Source organism: Homo sapiens, chromosome 1 (assembly GCF_000001405.40).
Source record: "Homo sapiens chromosome 1, GRCh38.p14 Primary Assembly".
NCBI lineage: Eukaryota > Metazoa > Chordata > Mammalia > Primates > Hominidae > Homo > Homo sapiens.
In genome coordinates, this window is record NC_000001.11 from 70701994 (window position 1) to 70722488 (window position 20495).

Below are 20495 nucleotides of genomic sequence, written 5' to 3' on the forward strand. Positions count from 1 at the left end.
GTATTGTATCTCTTAAGACAAGGGAGAAAGATTATAAGGAAGAAGTGGGCAACAGGACTAAATCTTACAAAGAATGTAAGGATGCTGAAAACAGAGAAAGACCTTTGGATTTATTAATTAGAAAGTCTCTGTGTACATTCCTTACACCCAACAAATTCATATGTTGAAGCCCTAATCCCAAATACCTCAGAATGTGACTGTATCTGGGGATGAGGCCTTTTAAGAGGTGACTAAGTTAAAATAAGGCCATTAGGGTGGGACCAAATCCAATCTGACTAGTGTTCTTATAAGAAAAGAAAATTTGGACAAGCAAAAACAGACACCAGGCATGTGCCTGCACAGAGGAAAGATGTGTGAGACACAGTGAGGAAGCCATCTGAGGCCAAGGAGAGAGGCCTTAGAAGAAACGAAGTTGACCAGCACTTTATTCTTGAAATTCCAGCCTCCAGAACTGTGAAAAAATAAATTACTGTTATTTATACCACCCAGTCTGCAGTACTTTGTTATGGCAGCCCTAGCAAACCAATACACACCGTTACATTCCAAGAGAGTAGCTAAGCCAGAATACAGTGGGTTAATAATGAGTGGTGGGGAGAAAATAGAAGCAATTGGAAAATTAGTGGATTTATAAGAAGATAATAATGTACCATGTCTTTTTCCCCAGAGGATTTGATTACTGTGAGTGTAGTTTTTTTCTCAATGACTTTTAGAGTTTTTCATTTTCTAGTCTCTTAAATTCGTTTTTATAATAAAAGAATTTAAAAAGTATCTCAACTATATGGGAAAACTGCCTTACCTCTTCTTGATTATTATAGCCAAATGTATCATGTAACTGCAGGGTAAACCAAGGCATTTTCTTTTATAGTGATATTATCGGCAGTTCCAAAGTTGAAAATGTCATGATTTCCCTAGAGTCAGGAAGATTTCTATTTTTGGAGGGCAGAGTGGGGAGTAAGCATGGGAAAAGATATAAAAGCATTGGGGGTAGGTTTTGTTTCCTTCTAAAATAATATCTTTTTCTAGATTCCCAACTCCTAAATTGCAGGAATAAGACCACTTTCATACACATTGTACTAAGGTTCAAAAAATATTTAGTAATCATTTAGCAATATTAAATACACAAGGGCAAGAATTCAGGGTTTATAAAAGTTAATGGACTAACTTGAGTTTCTACAAGCCTCCAAGATAGAGCCTTTTCTTACTTATGGAAACTTTAGTTTTTCCCTGGTCTTGCCAGATGTTCTCATTGTCATCATCATGATTTTGGAGAAGTTGTACTTATACCTGGAATAGCATTTCATTGCCACTCCAAAATATTTTATATGCTTCTCAATTCTGCCTATCTTTTAAGATCTGCTCAAGTTCTTCCTCTTGGAATGAAGCTTTCTCTGTGTACTCTAATCAAAAGGAGTCTGTTTTTTCATGATCTCCCATAACATTCACATTCTGTTCCAGCAGAATAAGATGAAAATCACAGACTTTCAACTTGGACAGATCCAGGTTCAAATTTCAGATCTTTCTTCTGATAGTCATTCAAGTTTGGATGAATGGGTTAATTTTTATGAACTTTCCTTTTTTTTTTTTTTGGAAAAGTAAATTGGTAATAGGATTGTGTTAATAATTAAATAAGGTTATGTATTTGAAATGCTTAGCAAATAGTTGATGACTTAGAGTCTGTGCTCTCTTGGTTAGAAGGAAAGAAACTTGCTCACATTAAAGTTAAAAGGAGGTTATCCTAAGGATACAAGGATGTTTACAAGGAATCCTGGGAAGACTGAACAATTGAGCTGCAGAGACAGTGGAAACTGAGGTAATCCAGAGTGCTAGCTGCCCTCCCATCTTTGTCTCTGTAACCCATGGCTTCCCCTTTCCTCTCTGCGTAGCTACTCTGATCTCTCCCAGCCAACTTTCTCTCCATTTATTTTCCTCATAAGATATACCTCTGAAATGGCCACTCCAGCTCAAACTCTAAGTGAATCTTTAGTGCAAGCACCCAAATCACACGTAACTTTCTTCCTTGTCCTTTTGGTTCAAATTCCTTAAGGAGAGGATCTGATTGGCTTGGTCTCTCTTCAAGTGAGACCACAAAAATTGCTGGCCAGCCTAGATTAAACCACCCTTGCAGGGCCCGAGCCCCTTTCCACTTGTTTGTTACCTGGAAACTGGGGTCTTTGTACTCTGCTATTTATGACAAGAGCAAGGAATGAAGCAGATTCCCTAAGAGAAGAGCCAGTGATGGGGGGAAGAATGGGGAGGTACCACAAAATATTTCGAGGATTTCTAGTCAAATGTTTACTACTCCTAACAACTTAACACTGATTGTATACTATCATTTGTTTTCTATACTTGTTTGCCTAAAATGGTGTTACTGTTTTGTGTAAGCAAAGAATTTTAAAATTTACTCCACATAATACCTTCCATAGTGTTAACTGTTAACATTTATTCCTCAATATTCATTAAATATTTATTGAGCACCTACATGTCAAGCACTATCATGAAGGGTATGGTAATAAACATAATTCTTGACCTCAGGGAGCTTACGTTCTGAAATTTTTATTTTATATATAATCCCAGTTAGGCATACAAAATTGTAGAAGTTTTCATGATTTTATATAATCATCACCTTCAGAATAGAGCCCTTCTCACCACTCAATTTAAAAATACACCCACTACCACTAGTATACCCTTTCAATATTTATCCCCTGCTTCATTCGTCTTCCTAGAATTGCACAAACACATCATGTATTATATTTATTGATCTTGTTTATTGTCTCTATTACTAGACTGCAAACTTATGAAAGTAGAGATTTTTATCCCTTTTCTTCACTGTGTATTCTTAGTGCCAGATATTTACTGAAAGCACAAATAAATGAAGAAATGAATGAATCATCTTACTTATTTTTTGTCAAGCATCTAATGAGTCTCAGGCACCATATTGGCTATTTTTATAAAGATCATTTTACTTACTCTTCCCAATAAGTCCATGAAGCATTTGTTATGGGCGTCTCTACTTCATATATTGAAAAACTGGGCATAAGAGAGACTAAAATCCTTGCCCAAGTTCACATAGCCAATCGGTGGCAAACGGGTTCAGGTTTGTCTGACTCAAGAGTTCATGTTCTTCACCTCTAAACTACATACTATTTGTAAATAAAATACTAGTTTACAGAAGTAGTGATGGGTCTGTAATGGTCCATACTTTGCTGTAATGTTCGTTTATTTGATGACACTGTAGGTTTGAAGCAGAGTTTTAATTGAGAAAGCAACCTAAATGGCTTGCTGTGCTACAATGTTTTTGGCTTCATATCCCTGTCCTCTCCAGCCATGGTTTTTGGGAAAGAGTCCTGATGTACATCTAGGATGTATTTATTATTAAATATTTGTCTAGAGTGTTTGTAGTAAACAAAAGTACTTATCTTTTAAATAAAACAAGAGGGCAAGTAACAAAGTCACCTTGTTTGGATAAAATGTGAAGGAAGCAGGTAAATCTGTCAAGAGCTATGGATATTGCCACCAAGATTCTGAAGAGCCTTGTTCCTATCCAGAAAGACAGGAAACACAGTTCATAATAAACTGAGTCCTTAATGCTTTTAACCAAGATGGTTGTGAAACACTCAGAAAAAAGCTAGAATATAGTAGTGGTTTAAATGAGCTATAAAGTATAAAAGAGAATAAAGATAGAAGAACTTGGTAGTATAAATAAAACATATAAAAATATTGAAATGGTAATTTTATACATGAAAGCATTATGATAAAATAACCCTGTGGCAATGATTGACTACATCAAATTATTTTTTGACAGAACAAAAGAAAGCACTGTAGATCACCAAAATCCCTAGGTCAAGGAATTGAACATTCTTGACTAGTGCATTTGCAAAGCCAAATAACTATAGAAATAGTATCTTCCAGTATTATTGTATTTATAGTTTTCCCTTTTTCTCTCCTTAATTTCAAATCCTAATACTCTGCCAAGAAGGGATCTGTATGTATTAGCTATGTTTCTTCTCTGGAATTTCAACCCATCCCTTATGGTTGTGTGGAAATTCCATAGACATTTTCTAGTAGATGCAGCAAAAATGGTAGAGTTTGGTGGAAATAAGTTTCCTTTTTTTTTTTTTAAATGTGCACTCTGTTCTATGCTCAGGTTAATAAGAGAAGATGAGAAGGCCAGTCTTTCAAAGCAACCCCAACCCTTTGCTTCCTGTTTTTAGTATGAGTCAAAGAAGGCATATTCTCCCAGGCCTTGATTGGGTAGAGAAAAAGCAATGCCAGGTAGAGGTATTTTGAATGGGAAGAAAAGTGATGTGAAGGTGAAATGGGAGAGTTCTCTGATCCCCTTCATAGGGCGTGCGACAGGGGTGCTCGCCTGTTCTGTCCCCGTTACTGCTCAAAACCCCTTACAGGATGGGGAGCGCGCAGGCAGGTGAAGGAGCCCAAGTGGGCGTGTGTTACAGTGCGCCATTTTAGCTTTGCCATCCGCGGACGGCTTGAGTGTTAACCAGCTCGGTGGACCGTTTGCCTTTCTGCGAGGGCAGCGGGTCAGTGTAACAACTTTCTGTATCCTGAGCTCTTGTCCAGCGTCCCGGAAAAATCGGGTCGCACAGAGGGACTCAAGGATGAATGCGAGAGTTTTGTTGAGTAGTGGGGGTGGCTCTCAGCGGAATGGATAGGGAGCCGGAGTGGGGGATGGAGTGGGAAGATGATCTTCCCCCGGAGCCTCGCCATTCAGCGGCTGAACTCCTCTCCAATCGCCCCCAGCGGAACTCCTCTGGGCGTTCAGACGTCGCTCCTCTTCTCTCTTTGTCATGTCGTTCTGCCGTTTATCTGCTTGTCTCCTCATCTCCTTGCCTGCTCATCGGCTCTGGAGCCTGGAATTCTGAGTTCATATGGGTATAGGGGGCGTGGTGGGCCAAAAGGCAAATTTTTGGGCGTGAAAACAGGAATGCCTGTTCTTATTTAGGGCCACGGGTATCCAGGCTTGAGGGTGGGGCCTTTGCCGGGAAACAGCCCTCTTCTACCCAATATTTTCCTGTTTCCTGTCCCTATTAAAGGGACTGTGGAAGTCAGCGATCCACCAAGGAAACTAAACCACACATGATGTTAGAAGAAATAGGAAGAATGATGTTTTCAGACCTGAGAACCAGAGCTAGAGTAGCCACACTGCAGATCATTTTTCTTTCTCTTTTAAATATCCATAAAATTTTGCAGAAAATAATTAGCAGACCTTGTTTATGTTAGGAAATAATATTTTTCAATGTTTAGTGTTTCTGTCAGTAGAAAATGGAACACTGGTAGTTGATTCAGATGGTGTTAAATTAAAAATTCCCTATTTGTTTTACTTTGTGAGATAAGTAAAGAAGGAGTGCAGTTGACAGCTTACTGTGACATATTTTTGAGAACATAATGTGTGTAATACTTAACACATAATGAAGAATTGCTGCAGCTGTTATGCATGTCTATAAAACTGTCATGACATGCTGGTCATACTCTGGAGGATTTCTTTTTCATAACTTATTTTCAGGTTAAATTTTGCCAGCAGATTTCTATGTTTTCATTGTTAACAGTGCATACATCTTGCTGATAACCACAGGAGATTAAATTTAAGAAAATAAGTTTTTAGGATATTACCGGATTTATTGAATGAATTATTACCCCTGTATCTTAAAAATTTTCTTGATGTTTTGTCTTCCTGTTTGAGTTTTCTATACATACCATGTTTTAATGCGGGAAACAGCTTCCTCTAGAATAAAGAATGAAGAAAATTGAAATGATCTCTGAAACTCGAGAATAGTTATGTAAAAGAGAAAAAACAAAGTCTATCGTTCAAAGGCTACTGAACCAGGAAACAGGCAGCCCGCGTTAAAATCCCAGCTCTGGGATCAACTGGTTAGATTATTTTCATTCAGGCATCTTTTCTTTCTGCACTACTTCATCTACCAGTTGCTAACATTGAATGAACCTTTACAGTGTTCCAGGTACTGTTTTAAGGTAGGATTTTTCACATGCTATTTCCTTTTATTTTTACAACAATCTAAATTGGCATTCTGATTATTTTCATTTCATAGATGAGGAAATGGAGGCACAAATAAATGAAGTAATTTGCCCAAGCATGCATAGTTAGTAAGCAGCGGAGCCGGTATTCAAACCTGGGCAGTGTGCTCATCATTGCACCACACTGCCTCCTTACAATACCTTTAATCAAATCACTCTACTAAAAGACCAATGGGTTAAAATATTCCAAGACTTTAATTTTTACTTTTTCATCTTTAGGTTATTTAAAAATTATAAATATAATACTTAGCCAACTACATAGAAATATATAAAGTTAAAAGTAAGATAGTCATGATCTACATAATGATGCTATGGGCAATGATGGACCTCATATACAATGACAGTCCCACAGATTATCATACCATATTTTTTCTATGTTTAGATATGTTTAGATACAAAAATACTTACCATTGTGTTACAATTGCCTACAGTATTATTACAGTAACATGTTGTTTAGGCTTGTAGCCTATACCATATAGCCTATGTTGTATTAAGCTGTACGACCTAGGTTTGTGTAACTACATTCTATGATGTTCACCAATGACAAAATCACCTAATGACAAATTACTCAGGATGTGTCCCCATGGTTATGCAATGCCTAACAATTGTACTTTATTCTTTAGTACTATTGTCAGACAAGTAATGACTGTTAACACAGTGCTGTGTATCCTTCCAGAGATTTTCTATACTCATATAACATTTTTGAAAGAAAAAGTGAAATATAGGGTAAGTATTGTTCCACATCTTGCTTTGTAAATATAACAATTTATGATATATGTCTTCTACATCATTATGTATAAATTTACCACATTTTTTAGAGAGCCATACTTTGATTCTATTGGTTTTCTCTATTGTCTTTCTATTTTGTTTCATTTATCTCCTCTCTAATACTTCTTTCTCCTTGATTTAAGTTTATTTTTCTCTTCTTTTCACAGTATCTTTATAAATTTACCACATTTTAAGAGGAACTGCCTAATGTTCCATTTTATGTATATGCAGTTTACCCTGAACAACATGGGTTTGAACTGTGTGGGTGCACTTATACGTGGATTTTTTACTTTTTTTCTAACTTTTATTTTAAGTTCAGGGGCAGAAGTCAGGACATTACAAGAAAAAGTTAAATTGCTTGATATGTACTGTAGATTGAGGTCTGCAGCTATGATTGCCTGTCATTTCAAAGTAAAAAGAAATTCAACATAAAGACCATTGTTAAAAAAAGAAACTCATGAAGCTGTGAAAGGCATACAGATTGACTCTCATATGATTTGAGAAAAAGTGAAGTCATTATATGACAACTTAAAACAAAAGGAAGGTGAAGGACATCCAAAGCTGGATAAATACATAAGCACAAAAACTTGTGTCATGGGGGTTTGTTGTACAGATTATTTCATCACCCAGGTATTAAGCCTAGTTATCTGTTATTAGTTATTTTTCCTGATCCTCTCCCTCCTCCCACCCTCCACCCTCCAAAAGGCCCCGGTGTCTGTTGTTCCACTCTATGTGTCCATGTGTTGTCATCATTTAGCTCCCAATAAATATATTGGAAAATATTTTGGAAATTCCCTACAATTTGTAAAACAACTCACAGATAAACTGTGTAATCTAGGAATTTTTTTAATTAAGAAAAAGTTACATATGCCAATCATGCATAAAACTTACGCAGATACTAGTCTATTGTATCATTTGCTACCACAAAATGCACAGAAATTATTATTGAAACTTAAAATTTATAAAAACTTACATGCTGGCCGGCCGCGGTGGCTCACGCCTGTAATCCCAGCACTTTGGGAGGCCGAGGCGGGCGCATCACGAGGTCAGGAGATTGAGACCATCCTGGCTAACACGGTGAAACCCCGTTTCTACTAAAAATACAAAAACAATTAGCCGGGCGTGGTAGCGGGCTCCTGTAGTCCCAACTGCTCCGGAGGCTGAGGCAGGAGAATGGCGTGAACCTGGGAGGCGGAGCTTGCAGTGAGCTAAGATCGCGCCATTGCACTCCAGCCTGGGCGACAGAGTGAGACTCCACCTCAAAAAAAAAAAAAAAAACTTACATGTTTACATACCATACATAGTGCGATTTGCAGTTGAGAGAAATTTAAACAAACACAAAGATGCAGTATTAAATTGTAATTGCACAAAATTAACCGTAGTATATTGTACTACTGTAATAATTTCTTAGGCATTTCCTGCTGCTATTACAGTTAGCTCAAGCTATTTTTGTGAGTATCCACTTAAAGCACTGTGTGATGCTAATTATGAGTGTATGATAAGTTCAACTCTCACATAAATTGCATATTGCAATAAAAAGTGACCTCTCACAGTTCTCATGTATTTTTCATTGTGTTTAGTGCAATATTGTAAACCCTGAATAACACCATGGTACTCATACAGAGTGCCACTAATGATGCTGTAAGTGCTTCCAAGAAGCAAAAAAAAGTCAGGACTTTTACAAGAAAAAGTTAAATTGCTTGATATGTACTGTAGATTGAGGTCTGCAGCTATGATTGCCTGTCATTTCAAGATAAAGAAATTCAACATAAAGTCCATTGTGAAAAAAAGAAATTCGTGAATATGTGAAAGGCATGCAGATAGACTCTAATATGATTTGAGAAAAAGCAAAGTCATTATATGACAACTTAAAGCAAGAGGAAGGTGAAGGAAGTTTAAAGCTGGATAATTTAATGCCAGCAAAGGATGGTTTGATAATTTTAGGATGAGGTTTGGCTTAAACAATGTCAAGATAACAGGAGAACCAGCTTCTACTGACCAAGATTCAGCAAATTCCCAAAAAGTCATTAAGAAGAAAAAAGATCTGCCTGAACAGATTTTTAATGTCCATGAAAGTGCCCTATTCTGGAAAAAAATTGGTAAAGGACTTTAGTAAGGAAGAGAAGTGAACACCAAGATTTAAGGCAGGAAGGGATAGGTTAACTACTGTTTTGTGCAAATGCAGCCAAGTTATGAGCAAGACTGCTGTTATGTATAAAGCTGCTAACTCTCAAGCCTTGAAAGGAAAAGACAAACACCGGCTCCCAGTCTTTTGGTTGTACAACAAGAAGGCCTGGACAATGAGAACCTTTTCCCCATCAACGCTTTGTCCCTGAAGTCAAGAAGTACCTTGACAGTAGGGACTGCCTTTTAAAGTTCTTTTGTTATTGGACAATTTCCCTGGCCATGCAAAACCCTGAGTTCAACACTGAAGGCATCTACCTTCCCCCTCCACACAATGTCCTAAAATCAGCCTCTAGATCAGAGGGTCATAAAGCCCTTTAAGGCTTATTACACATAGTACTCTACAGAAAGGATTGTCAATGCTATGCAAGACAAGCCTGAAAGAGAGAACATCATGAAAGTCTGGAAGTATTACAGCATTTGAGATGCCATTATTGTTATAGAAAAAGCTGTGAAAGACACCAGACCCAAAATAATAAATTTGTGCTTGAGAAAACTGTGTCCAGAGGTTGTGCATGCATTCACAGGATTTACAATGGAGCCAGTCAAAGAAAGTATGAACTGGATTGTGGATATGGCAAAAACAAAAAAACAAAAAAAAATGTGAGGGTTGAAGGATTTCAGGATATGGATCTTGGAAAAATGCAAGAGTTAATGGACACTGCACCAGAGGAATTAACAGAAGATGGGTTGATGGGGATGGGTGCTTCTGAACCAGTGCCAGATAAAGAGGAAGACAGAAAAAAACAGCACCCAAAAACACATTGTCATTAGCTGGCAGGAGGGTTGCCATTATTCAAGACTGCTTTTGACTTCTTTTACAACATGGACTCCTCTGTGATATAGGCACCGAAACTAAAGCAAATGGTGGAAGAAGGGTTGTTACTTTATAGGAACATTTTTAGATAAATGAAAAATCAAAAAAGTCAGAAATTACAATGTATTTCCTTAGAGTTACACCATGTATGCCTACCTCTCCTGCCTGCCCTTCTAGCTCCTTCACTTCTTCCATCTCTGCCATTCCTGAGACATTAATACTTCTCCTCTTCCTCTTCCTCAGCCTACATGTTCAGCCTCAACGTGAACGTGATGAGGATGAAGACCTTTATGATAATCCACTTTCACTTAGTGAATCGTAAATATATTTTCTCTTGCTTATGATTTTCTTAATAATTTTTCTTCTTATGATTTTCTTAATAATTTTTTTCTCTAGATTACTTCATTGTAAGAATACAGTATATAATACTGTATTAGTCAGGGTTCTCTAGAGGGACAGAACTAACAGAATATATATATATTTATTAAGTATCTATATATACTTAATAAATTCATATATATACTTAATAAACTCATATATATTAATAAACTCATATATATGTATATGAGTTTATTAAGTATTATATATATGAGTTTATTAAGTACTAACTCACACAATCACAAGGTCCCACAATAGGCCGCCTGCAGGCTGAAGAGCAAGGAGAGCCAGTTGGAGTTCCAAAACTGAAGAACTTGGAGTCTGATGTTCCAGGGCAGGAAGCATCCCACATGGGAGGAAGATGTAGGCTAGGAGGCTAGGCCAGTCTCTCTTTTCACGTTTTTCTGCCTGCTTATATTCTAGCCGCACTGGCAGCTGATTAGATTGTGCCCACTCAGATTAAGGGTGGGTCTGCCTATTCCAGCCCACTGACTCAAATGTTAATATTCTTTGGCAACACCCTCACAGACACACCCAGGATCAATACTTTGTGTCTTTCAATCCAATCAAGTCGACATTCAGTATTAACCATCACAAATACCTATAACATGCAAAAAAATGTTAATCAACTGTTTATGTTATCAGTAAGGCTTCCAGTTAACAATAGGCTATTAGTAAGTAAGTTTTGGAGGAGTCAAAAGTTATACTTGGATTTTTGACTGCATGGGGTGGGGCAGCTCTCCTAACCCCCATGTTGTTCAAGGACCAATTGTACAACAATGTATTTAACTGTGCTTCTATGGATAGTCATTTATTTTCTTCCCAAATTTTCATTATTTTGACATATTCCTATAGAATAGATTGGTAGAAGTAACATGCTTTTGAAAACCATAAAAGGTAATGTTAAAGAATCCTTCATGACTACTTACTTTTTTAGGGGATTGGACTGCTGCATTCTAAAAATAATGGTGAGAAGAATGAATAAATTAGAGTTTACTATGTAATAAAACCTTCTAAAAAAGAGGAGAGGTAGCAGAATTTACAAGAAGGTTAAACCTGACCTTACTGAAGAGAATGATACCCTCATAGCAGCGCATCTTCTTTGCTCACAGAAAGGTAAGGAAAGGTCCTTTTGTGAGTACAACTGAGATGAGTTCAGTTACCTATAATCTGGAGCATTTTACATCAATTTAGAAAAACATCACTGCTGGTTAAAAATTATCTTTCCCTGCAGATATTTTAAAGTGAGATAGAATCTAACTATTTGTCCAGCACAGAGGCAAAATTTGGGCTAGCTGACTCCACTAGGTTCCCTCTCTGTCTTTTATTGCACTAAATGATCTTAAGGATAGTGACATTCTCTGTAATTCTGCATCAGTAAAATTCAGTGTCATCGTCACACAGGTTGGATGTTGGCAAACCATAGCAAAATTAGTTCATTTTTCTTTTGAAATAGTTTTCAACTTTTTGCCACATTAAATTATAAAGACTTTTTTTTTCTTTGTATGAGGGTGTTACACAGATTCACAGTAGGTTAATGTGCCTACCAAACAGAAATGCATATCAGAAGGAGAAATGTCAGAGAGATTCCTATTTTTCTGCCATTAAAAAATAATATATAAAGGCCTGCATGTTTTAAAAGGAAAATTGATAAATATAACTTCCTGTTGTTTAGGAGTTCCTAACATATTGTGATTATTTAAAAAATGAATACAATGTAGATTTAGGATGCTATTATTAGTTTCATGGTCTTAGGCAAGCCACATAGCTTCTCTGACCTCATTTTTCTCATTTGTAGGGTAGAAATAATCAGGTTTCCATTCCCCTTTTCCAGATTGTTTGAAGAATGAAAACACATATCTAAAAGAGTGTGAAAAATTTTAAGTGTTATAAAAAAGTAGCTAAAAATCCATGGCAGATACTCTCAGTTGTCTGTCCAACAATAATTCATCCCTCATTCCATTTATGTATTAAATTCAATTTTATCTACTGGGGCTATGTGCTTCATGGGTACCTGGGTTTCTCCTCAGCACAGGGAATACGTCTTAATAGTCCTAGGGCAATTTATTCCATTCTGCCTGCCTGTGATGGGTTTAAAAATAGGCAAGCGAATCACTTCTGGCCAGGAGAGGTCAGGGATGATCTGTTGACTTTTGGGAAAACAGAGAGGGCACCAATCAGGAACATTCCTGTTTTCAGCCTGTGGAGGTTGTATTGTGGGGATCTGCTGCCCATGGCTGCAGAAGTCCTCTTGCAATGAAGAAGGCACAAGCCCAAGGGCAAAAATCAATGAATAGAAGATGCAGAGCTGTGATATGAACTGCCAAATTAACCAACTCTGGGCCTTCCCCACCTTTGAATTTCTTGTTAAAAGAATTTCAAAGGTTCTTATTATTTGAGAAGATTTTACTCGTATTTTTGGTTAACAGTACCTGGAGGCATTCTAGTTGATAAATAATTACCGGGTCAAAGTAGTTCCACCGCTTCAAAAACCATATTTACTTGTCCCTCAAAGCTATTTTGCTGAGCCAAAATGAAAGTTTGAATTATTCGTTATTGAATTCAGACAATGTAGATTACATATAAATAATTTAGGCTTCCAAGTCTTTTAGTAATAGTAGTGTGAGTGGAAAAAAGTCAGGGCCCTAAACTTCCTGAACTTGTTTTTCCTTTCATTGTGTAGATAAGTTGAAAATGTTATAAAAATAAACGCAAAAGTGAAAACAAAGTATACTTTTTTTCAAAGTTGTTCCTATTAGGAACACCTTACAAAGAGAGAAAAGACAAACCTCATAGCCATGAAATGCAAATGAATTGTTTAAAATAGTGATGAGCTGACGGGCACCAGTTAGCTTCTCTTCTGAAAGTTTAGAAATTTAAAATATAAACAGTTTATTGCATTCTAGTCTTTTGAAATGAGAGTTCTACGTTTATGAGAAATAATCTGGAATATGTAATTTAAACTTTTAAGTTTATATTTTAGTTTTGAAGAGACATCTTTATTTTGGCCAAACCCTTGGTATCTGAAATTATAATCCTTTCATGAAAGAAATTAACTAGACATTCATAAATTAATATAATTCTTATGGAAATGGATCTAACCTAGGGAATCAAAGCTGTTCTGAAATTTTACACAGACTTTTAATATTAGTTTAATCAAAGGTAACACTTTCTAAGACACATGATATTTGACTTTATAATATTTGAATTATTCATAATCTAAACTAGAGGGCTCAAATAACATGGTGTGCCATTTTCCCAACATTGTATATTAATATTTCAAAGATAACTTTTGCTAACAGTAATGATCCTGAAATCTGCAAGATCCTTCTAGATCAGAAAAGTCAGAGAGGCTGTTAGGTTTAGTGGTTAAGAGTGTAGCCTTTGAAGTAATGCAATTCTGTATTCAAATCCCTACTCTGTCACTTACGATGACATCTTAAACAAATCATACAGCATCACCCACCCCAGCCTTAGTTTCTCCATCTGTAAAATGGAAGCAGGAGAAGGTTGCTTACTAACATTATTACCTTATAGAGTTTGAAGATCAAATGAAATGAAATGATTTATGTAAGATACGTAGCAGGGTGGATGGCCTATTAGAAGCGTCCAACAAATTCAAGTTATTGTATATAAGAAACTCAACTCCCTTATAATTATGTAGAGCACTAAATTTTCTAAATAATTTCTATCATAGCATCCAAATGTATTTTGAGGCAAATGAGTGGATGATAAGACAGATTTTGGTGTTATTATTTTATTTTATTTTATTTTTATTTTTTTGAAATAGGGTCTTACAGTGTTGCTCAGGCTAAAGTGCAGTGGAGTAATCATGGCTCACTGCAGCTGCACACTTCTGGGCTCAAGGGATTCTCCCACCTCAGCCTCCTGAGTAGTTGGCACTATAGGCATGCAACATCATGCCTGGCTCATATATGCATTTTATATATATATATATATATTTCTAGAGATGGAGTTCTTGCCTTTTTTCCCAGGCTGGCGTCAATCCTCAAACTCCTGGGCTCAAGCAGTGCTCCCACCTTGGCCTCCCAAAGTGCTGGGATTACAGATGTGAGCAGCCATGCCTGGCCAATACAGAAGATGAAAATTGGAGATTGTCAATGAACTTGAGATCATTCGTTCAATGCTCATTAATTCAATATTCACTTAACAAATATTTATTGAGTGTTTACTATGGGCCAAGAACTGAGCAAAACACTCCACAATACAAGTCTGTGAAATAACCCAAACAAGAGCTGTGCATCTGTGCAGTTGTTATTTTTGCCACCCGGTATCCAGTATTCATTTTTTGTCAATTGAAAACCTCTTCCTGAATAACTTATCTCTCGTCCATTATTTGTAACCTAGTTGTGCAGAGGGATGTGACATAAACCCAGACAATCAGACTCACTATTCTGGAATTTGGAAACTTGTGGGGAAGGACACATGGACAAAACCAATTGTAGCTCATTTAACCCAGTGTCCATTAGTTCATGCTCAAAGCTGCTCTAACTTCCACCTTGATCATCTGATTCCATAAGGTAGACCACATTCTATAATAATTTTCCTTTTTGCTTTGGTTGACAAATGTCAGATTGTATTTCTTTCAAGCAAAGAACCCTAACTGAAAGAACCTCTGAAAGTGTGACATCATTCATTCTCAGAAGTCTTGGAATCTGTTTCTAGGAAAATCTTTTTATAATATTGATAATGTGGTATTAAGTTCTCTTCATCGTTTCTGCCAGAGAATTATGCTTGCTCTTAACCGACAAGCCTTGACACTCATACACATTAGATATGTCTCATCTAATTGTTACTCATCCATATTGTCTTAGTTGTGCATCAGAGATCCTCTATGCTTTTACTTCCCACATACGTCTATGTAGAATGGAGCCATGCAGAATGTCAAGCCAAATACTGCAAGCAAACCTAAAACTGTTTGCACCACATGTGCTACAATCCATTGGCCAAAGCAATTTTCATGGCCAAGAGTGGGAACAGTGAGGTGAGACATGTACTCTACTTAACCTGGTGGGAGATATTGTAGGTCATGTGGCAAGGGCATGGATGTACAATTTTATTAAAAGGTGAGAGTGAAGGATTAGAGAAAATAATCTAGTCTACCACACCTCCCATTTTCTCTCAGTGCACTGTACGACATCTCTTTTATTTATTGCATGCCATCAGAATACAAGGCAGGTTAAGGGAGAACAGAAAGAAGGCAGACTCCTAGTTAATATGTGTATTTACACTCGGTCTTGAAGAAGAGAGGAAGTGGATGACAATGTGTTATGATGTTTGGCAAAAGTATTCAGGTCACATTTCATAAAAACTCTATTTACCTTATAGACAAAATGTTTTGTGTGCATGTTAAATGTATAAATGTAACTTTTATTAAATACTTTGTGGCAAGTTAGTGTATGTTCTTTGTGAGCATTATCTCTTAAAATCCTCATAAAAATCCTGTGGGGTTTACAGACTGAAAAAACAAAATTTTGAAAGGTTAAATAAATTTTTGCAAACATAAGAGAAAACTAATTGTTCTGTAGCCCTGGCAACAAGTAGTCAACAGAACTGGTTTTAAACCCAGTTACTTGTTCAACATCTGCTGCAGTGAACACGCTTTTATAAACCAACTAATCAGGGCCAGCTCTTTGCTTCTGAAAGTTAGCCAATCAGGATTCACTCCAATAAACATATCCCAGAGTTTCAACCAATCCACCACAGTCCCTATCCCCAGTAATCAAACTTCTAAAAATAATGTTAACTTATCTTCACCTCTCCAAGTCTCCTTGAACTGCATGCTTCCCTTAAAACCCACTGAAGACCAACAGAGCCTGTGACTGATCTAAAGCATCCACTTTTTTTTTTCTGTAGTAGCAACGCATTCAGCTTTGTCTTTTTATTTCAGGTATCATGTAATGGTCTCATTGTTCTTTGACAGCAACTTACCCAAGTTTACACAGCTGGCAAATGGTAAAGTCAAGTGACTATCCCAGTTCCATCTGATTTCAGAGCCTAAACTCCTACTCAGCATGAGGTACTGTTTATCCTCATTCCATAAAAGTGATAGTCCAGGTACTCTTCCCTATAAAAGTTTAGCCTCTGATGGTATTTCAACTCTTGAATGGTCATTTACCTTTGCATATGTTATGTATCCAACTAACTTGTAAGCTCAGTTGAATCTAACATAATCTCACATTCCCAGTGGTGACCAATTCATCAAATATTTGCTTATTATTTTTAAATATATTAAAAAGAATGCTTAGTGTGTGCCAGGCCACCACGATAGTGATGGAATTAGAATGTTTTCGCCCTCAAGGGCTGGCAGCCTAACTGGAGAGACAGAAAACAGCACTTCAATGTGAATTGTGCTACCACATATATAAGGTGCAGTGTGACCTGCAAGGGAGGAGTTCCTAAGTCTGACATTAGCATTGTGAGCAGTCTTTAAGAAATGCCAAATGGCTGATATTTGCATATTACTTAGTTATTTGGAGCAAACAATTATTTCAGAGTCAAGAAAAATGTCCTCAAATTTGCCAATACTTATCGAAGTCAAATATTGAATCAGATATTGCACTAACCCAAATTTGAATTATTTAGGAAGAGGCCACATCATAAATGTGTAGTTTATCAGGCGGTAAAAAATACATTTAAGAGAATGCCATTTCCTATTTCTATTGCCCTAAAAATTTAGTTTTAATTTTTCTTACTGAGTATGGTGATTATTGCCTAATATGGAGTATTACACAATTCAGATACTTGATGCAAAAGATGGTGAGAATATGAAAAAAACACTTAATGATATTTGGTAAAACAGGAGCTGGCTTAATTAGGAGGCAGACACTCATAATGATCCTCAATTTCACTTGCACTTATTCCTTTTTATTTTTGATACAAAGCTATTTTTCTGGATTACTTCCCACTCCTTTTCCTTGGCATTCAAAACATTCCATGTTTTGAAACATGATGTAATCACTGAAATGAAAATTTTGTACACAAGAAAAGAAATCTCTAGTTTATACACAAGATGTCAGTGCGTTAGGCACAGAAACAATGTTTTCATTTAGTCTTGATTAATGACTGGGAATCGCCTTAGATTTCAGTACTTTCCTTGCTTTTCTCAAACAACTTTGACCTCTGCTGATAATTTTCCTGGCTGATCCAAGAACTGAGAGCCACTACATAATGGCCATTTCTTCTGCAGAGAGAACTGAGTGTCTGCTAGGAATGCACTGATTTAATGTGAGGTGATGTATGATATCTTCTGAGTTACAATGATCTGTGGCCTTGGCTAACCAAAAAGTCAGTAAGTGCATTTCAAAGATTTAAAACATCATTGGGAAAGAGGATTGTGGCTGAAATGACTGCAGACCAAGTTTGGGTCTTTGATGCCTTTCTTCCTGATGCAGCCCTGTGACTCCAGACTGCCCAGTAGCCCCAGTCTCCTCACACAATTTTCTGGCTTTCTAACTAGGTATTTACTCTTGTGTTCTAACGCTGTATTTTCTTCTCTTACCCAGAATGTGCCTATTAACAAGTCCAGCACCCGTTCTAGAGGCTGATCATTTGTATCAGATAAAATCATTCCTACACTATCCAAAAGGATGAAAATAGCTACAATTTACTGATCACTTACTGAGTTGCTTTAAAGGGCTCATTGCATTTAATACTCACAAAAGCCCTGTAAAGCAATTACCATAAATTTCCCCCATTTTACAGATTGCAAATAGAAGATTAAGAGAGGTAAGTCAATTGCTCAAGTTCTTGGAGCCATCAAGCTTCCCATCCAGGTCTCCTGGACTCCAAAGTCCTCTTCTTTATTGGTGACCAATAAGAGGTTTCAAAGGACATTTTTGATTTGATAAGGAATAGTGCCCACAAGAATTCTGTCTACTGTAGAATTTTGAGTATTAACAAAAACCTCTAGGGAAAGATATTCTTGTTCAAGTGGTAGCTTTCCTGATGTTTCTTAAATAAAACCAAATAGATAAGTTTTTTACTCACTAGAGGGTCAGGCTAGTTGTGCTCCACACACTAGTTGTTGTGGTGACAGGAGCAGGAGGAAGAGCCCACAGATATGTACAGCCCTTTTCCCTTGAGACCAACTGTTTACCTCCTTCTTTGTGTCAGTAGCCAAGGGAAACATAGAATCACAAAGCACAGAATGATAGAACTTTAGTGTTGGGCTCGTAGAAGTGTTTAAATCTAAACCCTACATTGTAGGGAGGTAGAAACTGATCAAGGAATAAAGTAACTCAAAGTTACCCAGCCAGGAAGAAGGTAGTGGAGTCAGAATTCAAGCCTTTCTCAAGTCTTTTCCCTCCCTCCCCTTCCTTCCTTCCTTCCTTCCTTCCTTCCTTCCTTCCTTCCTTCCTTCCTTCCTTCCTTCCTTCCTTCCTCCCTCCCTCCCTCCCTCCCTCCCTGTCTTCCCTCCCTCCCTCCTTCCCTCTCTCTTGCCATTTATTTTTCAGTGTCTATAATTTGCCAGTCACTGGGTACTGGAAATACAGCAAACACATTTAAAAAAAATCGTTGCTATGATGGAGTTTACATTCTAATGGGAAGAAACACATAGCAAACAAATACACCAGTAAAATATCTACTATGCCAGATGGTGCTAAGAGGTATGGAGAAAAATACAGCAGAGAAGAGTGATAAGGAGAACAGGAGGAGAGAGTGATGTTATTTCAAGTTTCTTGTGAGGAAGTGGCCATGAAGAGAATTCCAGATGGGGCAGCGGCAAATGGGGAGCATGCTTGGACTTGGGCTGCTCGAGGAACAACAAGAAGGCTGATGTGGCTGAGAATAGTGAGCAAGGGGGCAAAGACACAGGATGAGGATCAAGAGGAGCCAGATGACCCTGGCCGTCTTATCCATCAGTCAGCGCATTAGATCAACCTCATTGCCTCAAGAGGCTCATTTAATGATGAGTCTAATATCTTCCTGTGGCCATGACTAATTTCAGAGACCTATCAACTAGAGATATGGGATGGAGTGTAAAATGTGTTGGACTGGGAATGACTCTCCAGGTGCAAGTCCATCCCCTAATTATAATTAGCTCTGTTATTGAACTTGTTTAAGCTTCCTTTTCCTTCTAAGAGGGGGATGATGTGAACTATCCCAGGGATTTTATGAGGGCTGAAGAAGACAACAAACAAGAAAGCAGTTTGTAAGTGGACATTGTGAGTAATTGAAGTCAGTCAGTCAATAAATATTTTTTTCATCATTATTGTGAACAAGGGGTTTCTCCCTTCTGATGTTTACAGCACTGCTTTCTTCTGTCTGACAAGATGTGCAGAGAGACTCCACACCTTTGGAGAAAAACGAGAGAAAGAAAAGATGTTCCTCTTTGTCTGTATCTTTCTACCATGATCTTCAACTTTATCCCTCACCTGCCAGCAACAGAATGTGGGAGATTATTATGATCAGTGTGGTCCTCAGTTAACCCTCTGATTAAATACAGCTTATTGTCTTCACTATCAGGGCAAGAGCAGTGTGATCATGGTGTGACTACTGGTGTTGGAAAGAAACAGTCTTACCAGCTATGAAATTTATAATGTAGAGATTCTCTGAAGTTTTAAATGTATGGGTATTGACATGGTTGTGTTTCACAGCTGTCTATCATAGCAACTTCCAAATCCTTCCATGGAATTCTTTCCATGGAATTTCTTCATTGAAATTTTAAAATAAAAATTATTTTTTAGGGAAACTATTATAAACTTGAAACTTCACATACAGACAAGAATTGAACCTCCTTTAATCTAGTTGACAAATACGGTACTTATATAATATTTACTTTATGGAGAGTCCTGTATTCTCAAGAAAACTATATATAGTTGTATGTAGTTAGAGTCAAGAAAATGGATTTACTGTGTGATCTTAGGGATCCTCATCTCTAAAAAGAGAATAATAAAAATTGCCTCAAAGAGTTATTATAAAGTTTAATTATATATATATATATATATTTTTTTTTTTGCCAGGAGATAAGCGAGCAGAAGTCTATCGGCATGTATATATATTTTTTCCTTCAACTTTTATTTTAAGTTCAGTGGTACATGTGCAGGATGTGTAGGTTTGTTACATAGGTAAACGTGTGCCATGGTGATTTGCTACACAGATCAACCCATCACCCAGGTATTAAGCCCAGTATCCTTTAGATATTCTTCCTGATGCTCTCCCTCCCTCCACCCTCACTCCCAACAGGCTCCAATGTGTGTTTTTCCCCTGCATATGTCCATGTGTTCTCATTGTTCAGCTCCCACTTATAAGTGAGAACATGTGGTGCTTGGTT

General features: G+C 37.2%; 1 long non-coding RNA gene across 1 annotated transcript in view, besides 1 other annotated feature; it reads left to right on the plus strand.

Annotated features, from left to right (window-relative positions):
• The first annotated feature begins 4459 nt into the window (after positions 1-4459).
• The window catches only part of LINC01788 (long intergenic non-protein coding RNA 1788), an 80016-nt gene continuing 63980 nt past the window's right edge, over positions 4460-20495 (plus strand). The window contains exons 1-5 of the long non-coding RNA NR_125938.1: positions 4460-4538; positions 5735-5988; positions 6728-6777; positions 10064-10138; positions 11136-11314. This is a non-coding gene — a long non-coding RNA (long intergenic non-protein coding RNA 1788). The remainder of the gene's footprint in view (positions 4539-5734; positions 5989-6727; positions 6778-10063; positions 10139-11135; positions 11315-20495) is intronic.
• Positions 4567-5066: an enhancer, noted in NCBI's record as "H3K4me1 hESC enhancer chr1:71172243-71172742 (GRCh37/hg19 assembly coordinates)". NCBI's record gives its function as "activates a minimal SCP1, AML or CMV promoter by ChIP-STARR-seq in naive H9 embryonic stem cells {active_cell/tissue: H9 hESC(naive)}" and the evidence as "EXISTENCE:reporter gene assay evidence [ECO:0000049][PMID:30033119]".